The sequence below is a fragment of the Homo sapiens genome, chromosome 13 (assembly GCF_000001405.40).
Source record: "Homo sapiens chromosome 13, GRCh38.p14 Primary Assembly".
NCBI lineage: Eukaryota > Metazoa > Chordata > Mammalia > Primates > Hominidae > Homo > Homo sapiens.
Window position 1 is genome coordinate 104,120,561 of NC_000013.11, and position 13,960 is coordinate 104,134,520.

Genomic DNA, 13,960 nt, shown 5'->3' on the forward strand with positions numbered 1-13,960 from the left:
TTTGTTCCTCCTGATGGGTTCGTGGTCTCTCGGACTTCAGGAATGAAGCAGTGTGTGTTACAGCTCATAAAGGTAGTGCGGACCCAAAGAGTGAGCAGCACCAAGATTTATTGTGAAGAGCGAGAGAGCAAAGCTTCCACAGCATGCAAGGGGACCCAAGAAGGTTGCTGCTGCTGGTGGCTCAGGTGGCCAGCTTTTATTCCCTTATCACGTCATGCTGATTGGTCCATTTTACAGAGTGCTGATTGGTGTGTTTTTACAGGGTGCTAATTGGTGCTTTTACAAACCTTTAGCTAGACACAGAGCACTGATTGGTGTGTTTTTACAGAGCGCCGATTGGTGCGTTTACAAACCTTTAGCTAGACACAGAGCGCTGATTGGCGCATTTTTACAGAGCGCTGATTGGTGCGTTTACAAACCTTTAGACACAGAGCGCTGATTGGTGTGTTTTTACAGAGCACCAATTGGTGCATTTACAAACCTTTAGCTAGACACAGAGCATTGATTAGTGTGTTCACAATCCTTTAGCAAGACAGAAAAGTTCTCCAAGTTCCCAACTGACCCAGAAGCCCAGCCAGCTTCACCTCTCACTAAGAAGGGCTCATCACTTTTTGTACTATGGCTTATTTTTTTTTTTTTTTGCAACAACAATTTTAATGGACTAAACAATCAAATCTATGACTTTTAAAGGCTTAGTTAGCCTTCCTGGTTCTGGTATTAGGGTAGAACAACCGTTTTTTTGTGATTGCTACATCATAACTGTAAGTGAATTTCGTGGTGTCTGAGTTTTCAACAAATTCTTACTGTGTGATTTTTGTATTTTGAGCTATAGCAAATAATATTTATGTGTACCATCTAAAATCATGTCTTGAGGGACAAATTAATTATAACCCAAAACTAGAATCTAAGAAAAATTGTTCTATCTTATGGCTAAAGTTCACCACAGAACACAGTAAAGTATAGGGGGAAAAATGTTTTAATATGTGAAGTCTTTCTTTTCATGTTCTACAAGAACACGAAATATGGATACTGATTAGAAAATGTATAGGTTCACTGTAGAAAAGATTTCTTAAATTCATATTTTTGTAGTCTTCTAAATTTAGAAATCTGATTGTTTTGCACACAAGCTTTTTCTTCTTTTTGTATATATATTTAATTTTTAAAGTACAATATAAAATTAGCAATAAAGAATTAAGGAACAAGAAGATGAAATTAGGAAATACAGCAAAACCAGAATGGTGAGTTAATTTCTAATGCTTGTGCAATTATAGTAGTATTTATTGCAACTAGAAGCACCAAAACAATGTTTGAGTACCTATATATTAACATAAGCATGATAATTTAAGCTTTCTTATTTAGTAAGGGATATTTGGAGTCCATCTATCTCTATGAGTCTCTAAAAAGGGGCTTTCATAATAAATTCAGTTAACACCAATACTGGGCTTTATTGACATATAGTACAGGGAGTGTCATTTCAGTTACAGGGCTCTGAGCAGATGCTGGTCAACAGAAGCAGTAATCAGAACTGCATCCTTTCTTTCACACCTAGACAGTAGCATGACTACCAGTGATATTTTCTGGCTATGTCCCACCCAATCTCATCTTGAATTGTAACTCCCACAATTCACACACGTTATGGGAGGAACCCAGTGGGAGGTAACTGAATCATGGGAGTGGGTCTTTCTCATGCTGTTCCCATAATAGTGAATAAGTTTCATGAGATCTGATGGTTTTATAAGGAGGAGGTCCACTGCACACGCTCTTTCTTTACCTGCCACCATCCTTGTAAGATGTGACTTGCTCCTCCTGGCATTCCACCATGATTGTGAGGTCTCCCTGGCCACGTGGAGCACATAAGTCCATTAAACCTCTTTTTCTTACCAGTCTTGGGCATGACTTTATTATCAGTATGAAAACAGACTAATACAGTAAATTGATACCGGTAGAGTGGGGCACGGCTACAAAATACCCCAAAATGTGGAAGTGATTTTGGAACTGGGTAAAGGCAGGGCTTGGAACAGTTTAGGGAGCTTAGAAGAAGACAGGAAAATGTGAGAATGTTTGGGACTTCCTAGAGACTTTTTGAATGGCTTTGCCCAATATGCTGACAGTGATATGGACAATAAAATTCAGGTAGAGGTGGTCTCACATGGAGATGAGGAACTTGTTGGAAACTAGAATAAATGTGACTCTGTTATGTTATAGCAAAGAGACTGGCAATGTTTTGTCCCTGCCTTACAGGTTTAGGGAACTTTGAACTTGAGAGAGATGATTTAGGGTATCTGTTGGAAGAAATTTCTAAGCAGCAAAGCATTCAAGAGGTGACTTGGGTGCTGTTAAAGGCATTCAGTTTTATAAGGGAAGCAGAGCATAAAAGTTCAGAAAATTTGCAGCTTGACAATGCGATAGAATAGAAAATCCCATTTTCTGAGGAGAAATTCAAGCCACTTTTAGAAATTTGCATAAGTAATCAGGAGCTAAATATTAATACCCTAGACAATGGGGAAAATGTCTCCCAGGCATGTCAGAAGTCTGCATTGCAGCCCCTCCCATCACAGGCCCAAAGGTCTAGGAAGAAAGAATGGTTTCATGGGCAAGGCCCAGGGTCCCAGTACTGTGTACAGCCTAGGGACTTGGTGTCCTGCATCTCATGTGCTCCAGCCATGGCTAAAAGGGGCCAACATAGAGCTCAAGCCATTGGCTTAAGAGGGTGTAAGCCCCAAGTCTTGGCAGCTTCCAAGTGGTGTTGAGCCTACGGGTGCGCAGAAGTCAACAACTGGGATTTGGAAACCTCCACCTAGATTTGAGAGGATGTATGGAAATGCCTGAATGCCCAGGCAGAAGTTTGCTGCTGGGGTGGGGACCTTATGGAGAACCTCTGCTATGGCAGTGCAGAAAGAAAATGTGGGGTTGGAGCCCCCACACAGAGTCCCTAATGGGGCACTGCCTAGTGGAGCTGTGAGAAGAAAGCCACCATCCTCCAGACCCCAGAATTGTAGATCCACTCACAGCTTGCACCATGCACCTGGAAAAGTCACAGACACTCAACACCAGCCTGTGAAAGCAGCTGGAAGGGAGGCTGTACCCTGCAAAGCCATAGGGGCGGAGCTGCCCAAGACCATGGGAACCCCCCTCTTGCATCAGAGTGACCTGGATGTGAGACATGGAGTTAAAGGAGATCAGTTTGGAGCTTTAAGATTTGACTGCCCCACTGGATTTCAGGCTTGCATGAGACCTGTAGCCCCTTTGTTCTGGCCAGTTTCTCTCATTTTGAATGGCTGTATTTACCCATGTCTGTACCCCCATTGTATCTAGGAAGCAACTAACTTGCTTTTGATTTTACAGGCTCATAGGCAGAAGGGACCTGCCTTGTCTCTGATGAGACTTTGGACTGTGGACTTTTGAGTTAATGCAAAATGAGTTAAGACTTTGGGGGACTGTTGGGAAGGCATGATTGGTTTTGAAAAATGAGGACATGATATTTGGGAGGGGCCAGGGGAGGAATGATATAGTTCGGCTGTGTCGCCACCCATATCTCATTTTGAATTGTAATTCCCACAATTCCCATGTGTTGTAGGAGGAACCTGGTCAGAGGTAATTTAATCATGGGGGTGTGTCCTTCTTGTGCTGTTCTCCTGATAGTGAATAAGTCTCATGAGGTCTGATTGTTTTATACAGAGGAGTTCCCCTGCACAAGCTCTCTCTTTTCCTGCTGCCATCCATGTAATGTGTGACTTGCTCTTCCTTGCCTTCCACCACGATTGTGAGGCCTCCCCAGCCACGTGGAACTGTAAGTCCATTAAACCTCTTTTTCTTCCCGGTCTCAGGTATCGCTTTATCAGCAGCATGAAAATGGACTAATACAAACCATCAAAGAGAGGAAATGTAACACTGAGGTTTCAACTCAGTTGCTGGAACCCTAGGAGAAAATAACATTTGCCAAGGAGACATAGTAGAACAGTGACAAAAGAGTAAATCAAATGCCCTAACCCAACTGCCCAAAGAATCATATGAAAAAAAATAGCAAAAACAAACTATAAGACACCAACATAGCAAAATAAATAAAAATAAAATATATCTAATTACCTATGGAACAATAACTTACTTTCATATTAAAGGATGCAAATGCACTTACAAAAGGAACTCAAAGCACTTTAAAAATGAAGCATTTGATTAATTTGAATCATATATATAAACATTATTTGAATGATAATAGCTGGATATTAGAGCAGACTTCCAAGTCAGTTTGTTTTCCTTATGCCCAGTGAAGTTGTTTCTCTGTTGCATTTTTAAAAATAAGACAAAGAATTTCCTTGTAAAAGAAAAAAGCAATAACCCCATCATTGGGTGTTCCTATAAGGCTTATGATCTGTGACTCCCTGATTGCTGCCATTTTGCCCTATAATATCTCTGTGTGCAGATGAAGGATGGATGTTATCTTCCTGCTGTAATAGTTGATTTTATTTATGGGAAACTTTTGGCCTAGAGAAGTTTAGCAAATCACAGTTTTTGCAGGGTGCTGCTGGGACCTTCTCTCTACTTCATAGATTCAGCTGTTCATAGCATAGAATGTAGCCGTCTTCGATAGATTTTTAAAAAGAGACAGGAATGTTGTAAATTTGCCAAGAGTAGATATTTATAATATCTACTTTAAAAGTACTAATTTCTAATTGCAGTAAAATAAAAAAGCATTAATAAATTAAATTTAATTTGATGCTTAAAGGTTTTAGCATTTGATTCTACATACAGGTAATGCTTCCTCCTCGTAAGCTTCGGCATTGTATTTTTACATATACAAATTACTCCTCAATCATCCTCTCCACATGGCAATAGCACTGAGATGATTCCAGCTACACGAGTGGTCATTTTTGGAGCTCATCACTTAGAATGTGCAAGATCCAAGCACACGTCCTTCCTGAATTTGTGCCTGCCTTTGCTATTGCGCAGAATGACCTTCTAAACTGTTTTTTCTGCAAGGCCTAATTATAACATGTTAATTTTTCGAATGAATGTAAAATGTTTCTGAATTCTTCCAGGCTTATTTCCACACCCCCATTTTCCAGTGATTTCTTCATCCATGTGTTACAGGCTTAATCATATTATACTGTATTATTTGTTTTATGTATATTTAAGTAATTAGGCTTAGAACCCCCGGATTAAACTGGTTCATTAGCTAAAAAATCAGCAAAATATTTGATTCATAGTCATTTATTATTTTAGATTATTAAACAAATGAGAAATGAATAGCCCTGTTAAGTGAAGTATCTGGATATCATGGGTCTATTGTAACATTAATTCTTTATGACTACACAATTGTCTACTACTGAATTCCATTTAGGGCAGTAGACACTGCACTTTCCATGATGTACAGTCTGTATTTTCAACTCTTCGGCTCTAGACCACCAGCACTGAGGGTAAGTTCTATTAATTCTTTCTCTTGAAAATAATCAATGTTCTCTGTTTGTAATACAGATATGGTGAGATTATTTCTACAGAGTCTTTAGAAATAAACCTTCTCAGCTATAAAATAGCAATTTAATATAATAGAGTGGAGAATATAATTGAATAATAAATAATGCTGCTATTTTTTGTCATTGGAATGATATAAACCATTAACAGATAAAAAAGAAAGGAATACATAATGTATCCCAGCAAAGTCATGAAATATAAAGGACGTTTCATTTTTCACAATAAGAAAAAATATAATTTTAAAACTATCAAACATTAACAAGCAAAATATTAGCAAAAAAATACAATTACTAATATACCTGTATTTTTAAGTTTATTAGACTTATTGAATGTTAATTACCAATATATTTATTGAATCTGATTTTGGTTGTTTTGTAATATTTGGCTATTTAAAAGGTAAAATGAGAATGTTTAATAGAGGCACTAGCAAATGGAAGCATTAATTCGCTCAAAATTAATAAAATGTGATAATGAGAACATTTAATACTTCTTTAGAGTACCATAAAATAAAAGATGAAAGATTATTTTAGCTGTGCAATAATTACAGTATTATTACAATTAACAGGAATTCATGATAAAGGAGAGTTTCAAAAGGATTGCCCACGATTTCACAGTTGGTAACCAGTGGTGCCAGAATACAAACCTTTTTAATTCAGTGCCCATATCACAGTTACATTGAGCAGTGGCACACTTTTTCAAGAACAGACAGAATGTGCATATGAGTTCTAGGGCATTTTTGAAATATATCCATTATTAAATAATAGAGAGATCAAACTCATGTCTTCTGTGTCCTAAGTCAGTTTACTACATACATGTGAATTGATGATGTAGAAAACAATAATACTAAAACGCCAAACATCACATCAACCTTCCAGTCAATCCAATGCTCTTGGTCCTAGTACTATCTAGAGAATTTTAAAAGAAAAAAAATTACTTCCATTGCTTCTTTTATTCACTCATGTATTTAGTACTTTTTAAGTTCACTTATTCATATTTTTTCATCAAATGCTGAATACACCTGTGAATATGAACTTGATGTGTATTTGATATCTATATCGGTAATAAGTTTATAACTGTAGGTAATGCTTATATTAATTAAGACATGAAAAATCTCTTTGAAACTTACAGAATTTTATATTAATATTAGGTAATGTAAATGATGATAAATGAGAGATAGCTTATACCCAGTGGCACAAATAAATTGCTCATGAAGGAGAAGAAAAACTCAAGCAGAATTATACAATTTGAAGACAACAAGGAGCACCAAGTAATGAGTGGAAGGAGTGTGTGATCATTGGGTAACGAAGTAAAAAATTTAATTTTACTAAAGCAAACAATGTTTCTACATGAGAATAGTAGAACACAAGACTTCATAAATCTGTAAACACACACAGGAGCATGCATAAATGTTGTACCCTAGATCTTGCTATTACTAATAGTTGCAAACCCTTCATAATCTTAATTGTAAGTACTGGGCTCCCTGAGAGCTCTCTCGCAATTATAACCCTTCATGGACCTCAAACTTACTAGGATCTTCCATTTTTCTATTCTCCTCATTCTAACTTTTCTGCTCAGCTTTAATTGATGGGTCAGTGATTACAACAACTCAGTTGCATTAACCTTTGCCCTGCCCACTTTGTCGAGTTCCTTTGGTACTAACAATCCTTGTTAAATCTTCACTACTTCATACTCCATACTCTGTGCTCTTACAGATGAACTTAATGTGGCTGAAACAGTTCCTGGGGTTTGGCACCAAACCATCCAATAAACTAAGAGAAATTTTGCGCTTTGTGTTGTTCAACCTCAGAATGTTTCAACAGTTAATTTTTTCAGTACCCATTAGAAACCTAAATAGTTTGCAGGTTTATAAAAGAGTTCTTACATGCATAAACATATAATAACTATTGTGGCAGTGAGATTCCACAGCCAGTAGTTATACTTAGAAAGTTGTTTCCACTCAGAAATATTTGCTTAATGTTGATCATGTTAATGGTAAAATTTTTAACGTCAAGAGCAGTATAAAACAGGTCAAATGACAAACACTGGAGAACACACATATTTAACTAACAAATTATTCACATCATCTATTAGAGCATATTTGTTAATTTTTTAGATCTTTTGTTAATAATCTATTAACCTGCTTTCTTTGGATATTTACCAAATTATAATTAGCCTGATAATTTCTCAAAAATTAAGGAAAAATAAAATCTGTTTTTGTATTTATTTTAAAGAGAACATTGTGCATGACAACTGTTTTTTCAATGCAAATTTTAATAAGATATTACTTAAATGTACAAATGTTTTTAATATCACTAAACAATTGGCTGTCTTTTTGAGAAGTTTTTTCTGCTACAGATCATATAGGCACAGCAGATATCTCAGAAGCTATATATGTATATATATAGTATAAATATGTGTATATATATATGGACATATATATAGAGCTATCTATATGATCTATACGTGTATATATAGAGACAAATAGCTGTATATACACATATACAGCTCTCTGTCTATATACTATCTAGATACTATCAAGAGAGTATGTGTGTGTGTGTATATATACATATGTATATATATATACAGCTGTCTATCTATCTACATAGTGTGTCTCTCTCTAGAGTCTTAGTCAAGATGCACTTGTGAATTGAAAAGTTCAGGATAAGGCCTAGAGCATTTAGTGACATAATGGTGAAAATACCACTTCATTAGCTTAGAAGCCACATTCACTTGTTTTTCTTTTTTTTTTTTTACGAGTTAATGCCAAATCAATTACATCCAAAGATAATATAACTTTAATAACAATTATTTGTAATAGTTCTACTTTTATTTTAAAACGTGGATTAAAAGCTACCAATATATAGCATTATTGTACCCATATAAAGATCAGATCTCTTTTTTAACCTTTGATAGATGTGATTTTAAATGATGTATTCTTTTAATATGTAAATGGAGAATTACATATATGTATATTATTTAGGTTTTTACTGTTGACATTTTTACTAGTGCTTAATCTTCAAAATAAGAAAGCAATAAGGAATTTTATGGAAATATCTTAAATATTATTTAACATTATGTAATACACATGACAATTATAAAACTATGAAACATGCAATAATGCAATAATGCTGAGTGTCTGATTCCGTATTACTGCATCAGTGCTAAGATGCAGAGTATAAAAGTTTAGATTGCAATGATATACACCGTAGTGTGGCCATGCCAAACAGATTTAATGTATACAACAAGTTATTCAGCAAAAGTTGTGTGATATTGAAGGATGTTCATAATCATGAAAAACATTTCCATTAACCATATCATCATTGAAACTTTAAAACCTTGAAGCTCACTGGATTTTTTTTTACCTTTATATGTCGTATTTCTACTAAAAACTTGGAAAATATGTTTTTATTTAATAATAATGAAATATATTATAAATCCTGGAGAAAGACATCTATATTGATGCTCATCTAAGTTAGCATTGACTGCTTTTCCTTTTGCCTAACTAAAAAACTATAGAAATAATGGATACAAAATATACTTAAGATGATCTTTAGGTACTGCAGTGGTGATGTGTGTCATTATATATTTGGCAAAACCCATAGAATGTACAGCACCAAGATTGAACCCTAATGTAAACTATGGACTTTGGGTGGTGATGTACCAGTGTGGGTTCATTGGTTGTAACAAATGCACCATTGTGGTGCAAGAGGTCAACAGTTGGGGAGGCTGTGTGCGTTTGAGGTTAGGAACTTAGAATCACTTCATTTTTCATTTAATTTTTCTATAAACTTAAACTTCCCTAAAAAATAAAGTTGATTAAATTTTAAAAACTATAAAATCAATAGCAAAATTATACCCATATCCAAAAACAAATATGGACCTCAAAGTCAGATTGGTAAACAGAATTGATGCCAGCATTGACCAGTGTGTATCCTAATCTGGGAAACGCAGTCTCACACTGTCCAAAGAAGGGATCTGAAACAAAGATCCTTTTATAAAGCCTAAAATCTGGAAGAGTTTCAGTACCTAAAAAAGCTCTAGAATCAACATAAGGAAGCCACAAGGATGCTTACTTTCTGCCCATGGTCGTGATTATGGGAGAATAAAAAAACAGCATCAACAGCCAACTACAAAAAGTCAAAACTCAAGACCTGTTTTATCCCTGTTCAGTGATTCCACTGTGCATTCCTCTGTAATCCTAAACCAAGAAATCAACGTGAAAACTGGTTCAGGAACAGAGAAATCCTTTTTGAGCCCAGACAAAAAAATGATATTCTATTAAGATGCTTTTGCAATATAGGGCAAATGGTACACAGAACTCCTTAGGGCAAAAAGCAACTTGCAATGAAAAAAAGATACCTGTGAGGCTTAATTACAACATGTAACAGAATATTTTGTATTCCTACAAATGTGGGTGATAGAAGAATCAGAATGATAATATAAAATAAATAAAATTAAGATAAAAAAGAAGACATGAAAATAATAATTTTAGAAAGCTTGCTGTATTCACAAAAAGGAATGCCATCATCCAATCAACAACAGAATTTGAGGAATTACCTCTGCATTACATGGCACTTGATGCTGTAAGAGGTATGCAATTTTAGATGTATTCATTTAATGTTTTATTAAAATAGTATATGATCAAGACTTTTCACAAACACAAAGTGAGAAGATTGAATTACCAACATAAACTTCCAGTATAAAAGCTGTATTGCCTAAAGTATTTGATGAAACACACCATTCAGAAGTCCTCAGCTCACGAGAAGATTTCCATACTTCAGAAGTCCAGTGATTACAGTGTGTTCTTATGAAAGAGTTTATCTTTCTTTCTTAAAAATCAGATTTGATTATGTTGATAACGTTGGTTTGCTTTTCTTTTATTGTGGCAGTAATACTATTGCAAATATTTAAACACGCATAGCATCTGCAAAATCCACATTATGTTGTCCATAGAATTGAACCCCTGCTCTTTAACAGTTTTATAGGAATAGAAAGCTAAATACTTTCTTGTTTTTAATATAGACGATGAAAATTTTTTGGATAGCATTGAAGAGTTCAAAAGGTCGTATGAAGTGTTTTGCCTGAAGCTTCAGTGAAGTAAAATTGGTTTCTTCTGAGAATAAGGTACAAATATGTTTGTATGATATGATTTTTACAAATCATTGTCTCATAATATTCTATTTTATTTTTACAACAGGGATATGTGGGGGTTGACTCCATGGTTTGACTTAGATTTTAAAATAATGACTATTATTGTAAATAAATTTTGAATTCTAAGGGGACAAAGGAGAAACCAGAAAATCCATTAAAACTTCAATAGAGTTAATGAAATATTATCTTTGCAAACAGGGTAAGCAGAGGAGACCAAAAGTTGGTAGTTCAAGAGAAATGTTGGGGTTATATTTTTTAACTATTAGGATACATTATATTGGCAGATAGGGCAATGAAATACCCAAAGATTACTTCCAGATTGCTACCTTAAGCAACTCATCGTCTAGTTCACTTCTCCATGTTCTCTTTCTGCACCAACACTATACTACTCTTTGATTCACCGAAAGGGACATGTTATTCCACACAGTGAAGGGTCTGTGAGAGACCGAGTCAGCATGAAGAGGAGTGTTCAGGGACCTGTGTGGGACATCATGCCTTGGCTTTCTCCCTATAACCCCATGTAGAGATTTATTATTAAATATTAGAGAAAATGGGTGCATAAATCTACATTTCATTCGATTAGAGAATGTGTATGTCAAGGAAGAAGACCCATTCCCTATTTACCGTCATAGAGGAAGTAAAATAAGAGAGAATTTTATAGAGATAAAAATATAGAAAGACATAGAAAACTCAGAAAGTAATACATTTAACAAGATGTATATGCAAATCTGATTAAAATATTGATAAACCAGAGATAGATTATTCATTTTAAAACTGACAGTAAAAGTTCTTTAGTAGCTTGATTCGATTGCATTTGAAATATAATTCTGTTTTAAATAATTGATTGAGACTAATATTCAGAAGCTTATTTTGTATGTACTGCAAGCAATGTTAGTGAGAGCTCATGAAAACTCAGAGCTATATTCCTTGTTTAATTTGTTTGCTGGTGGAAATACCATGCCTTGGATTAAGTTTTCAAATTACTATAAAAGCTAAGTTTTCAAGTGAATGCAAAGAATGTGAAAATTGGTAGTTCCACACAGCTCTAACTGTCACGCCTTTCTATGAGTGAAAGAACGAGAAGCAGATTCTCCCTATTTGATTATCTATGCATTTATCATCTGTCTTGTCTGCATTTTTCCTCTGAGCAACCTACAGAGGACTGTACAGATAAAAGGTTTTCCATTATATGTAATTTGAAGTAGAACAAATGATATGCAATCATATGCAACGTGAGAAAAATTATGACCATCTCCTCTCCACAGAGACTCACATTTAGCCTCAATTTACTCCCAGAAAGCCTGGGACAGACATCCTTGGTAGTATTCTGAGGGTCAGCAGGTTGGAGAAAGGGAGCTTTCCTACTATGTCAATAGGAACGTGTCAGTCCTCTGCTGGCTTGCATATGTTTTATCCCCACACACTATAGACTTAAGTGGAAAGGAAGACAAAGCACCAACAAAGCACGCAAAGGCTCTGGTCATTTCCCCGTTGTATTGTCTCCCTGCTTTATACCTGAATTTCTAGACATTTTCTGATTTCCATTTACACAGAAATACAAGTGGATATAAAATATTAGCCATTCCCAGGAAGCCAGATGCTTTAGACAAGTTGGGTCTATAAGGAAGAAAGACACACTCAAGTTATAAGAAAAACATGGTGGTGCATTTAGTGTGAAGAGACAGCTTCATCTATGCCCTGGCTCTTGAGAAACTTACTTTTTCTTTTTGCTTTTCAGGTTGTTTAGGCCACCATCCCTGGAACAAATATTATCCCTTCCTGCAATTCCATTGTCTGCCGGTGTTACCGGCAGAGCTACTTTGAGTGCTGGGCAGGAGCTGAAGCCACGATGGGCAGGGGGTTCATTCTGGGGAGTGGCTGGGAGGGGAGATTCTTAGACCTCTGAGCCTGCAGCTCTGAGCTCTGAGTTGAAGCTCTGCTCTCCAAAGCAAGGGTGGCTCAGAAGCGCTTTGGGGTCATCTGTCTTCGCCAGCCTCACCTCACTCTTATTCTCTGAGGATGTTTAGGAAGAAATGAAAATTATGTGGCTTAGTCTCAGCATAGCAAGAACTGTGGGGAAGATCATTAACTTTCTAACCTGATTTCTTCTGTGACTTCAGAGGCTTCCTTAACCTCCAGTTAGAAATTTTTATCAGGCATATTTGATTATTATGTATCAAGTATCTGCCTTGTGCCATTCGCTGTTTGAGGCAGTTAGAAACAGTGATGGGCATGTCAGATGAAACCCTGCTCTGACGGACCTAAAATCCTAGTGAGTGATAATTAATATTTATACTTTATCTTTTCACTTAGTGATTAATGTTCAAAAGAAAAGCACTCATATCAGAATGAGGTACTTATTCTTCAAAAATTATGATAGATTCTCTTTGTATTTTAAAAATATTTTGGTGGTATATAATAGAGTCAGTTTCTTCAACAGAGCTACAAGCTTGATCCCCTTGTTGGGAAATATATGTTACAAGGGCAACATTAGAAACCCCCATGATCCAGTCACCTCCCACCAGGTCCTTCCCCCAACGTTAGGGATTACAACTCAACATGAGATTTGGGTGGGACACGGAGCCAAACCATATCAGTTGTTAACTCAGCTCTCGTGTGCTATATCCTTTCCTTCGTGGGATCCCATTAAAAACATTAAATGAAGAAACATAACAGCCAAGGGAAAGATGGAAGGACCCTTCCACGGAAAAAAAAAATGGAACAAATAGCTTGAAGGAAAATGAGAAGGAAAACCTGTTGAAGGATGACACCGATCTGGAAGAGGATGCCCAGAGTGTAAAGAAGGAGATGGGGATGGGCAACAGGGCTCCAGAGGGCTACCAGGCTGTGCGTTCACAGGTCGGAGGAGCAGAAAATGCGTCCATCGCAACAAGAAGGGGGACTACTGTGAGTGGAAAGCTTGCTCATGGAGAGGGAGACATTCACTCCTCTCACTGTCCCCTATCCCTGCTGTCCCAAGGAGAGAGCACCCCAGTTATGTGATTGAGTGTAGTATTTTTTAAATGTCAGTACTGGTTTGATTTTTAACTAAGTAAAAATGGAAAATTAAACAAAAAGTACAGGGTATCTGTCAACTTCCCAGAACATATCTTTCGGGTCTTGTGTAAAGAAATTGATGTAATCTGCTTTTCTGAGAATACTACATTTTAATTGTTAATTATGATTTAATTAAATTAAAATTTAATTTAATTTTAATAGTTGCTCATGAAGTGAGGAAGAATTTTTGTTATTCAATTTTTTTTTCATTTTTATTTATTTATTTTTTTTGAGACAATGTGTCACTCTTGTTGCCCAGGCTGGAGTGCAATGGCGTGATCTC

The 13,960-nt window shown here is 36.0% G+C and overlaps 1 long non-coding RNA gene across 1 annotated transcript; it reads left to right on the plus strand.

Annotated features, from left to right (window-relative positions):
- Positions 1-5,369: 5,369 nt before the first annotated feature.
- Positions 5,370-13,728, plus strand: LOC105370340 (uncharacterized). The gene is made up of 3 exons (XR_931689.2): positions 5,370-5,414; positions 10,492-10,593; positions 12,359-13,728. It is a non-coding gene; the product is annotated as an uncharacterized LOC105370340 (long non-coding RNA).
- The last annotated feature ends 232 nt before the right edge of the window (positions 13,729-13,960 follow it).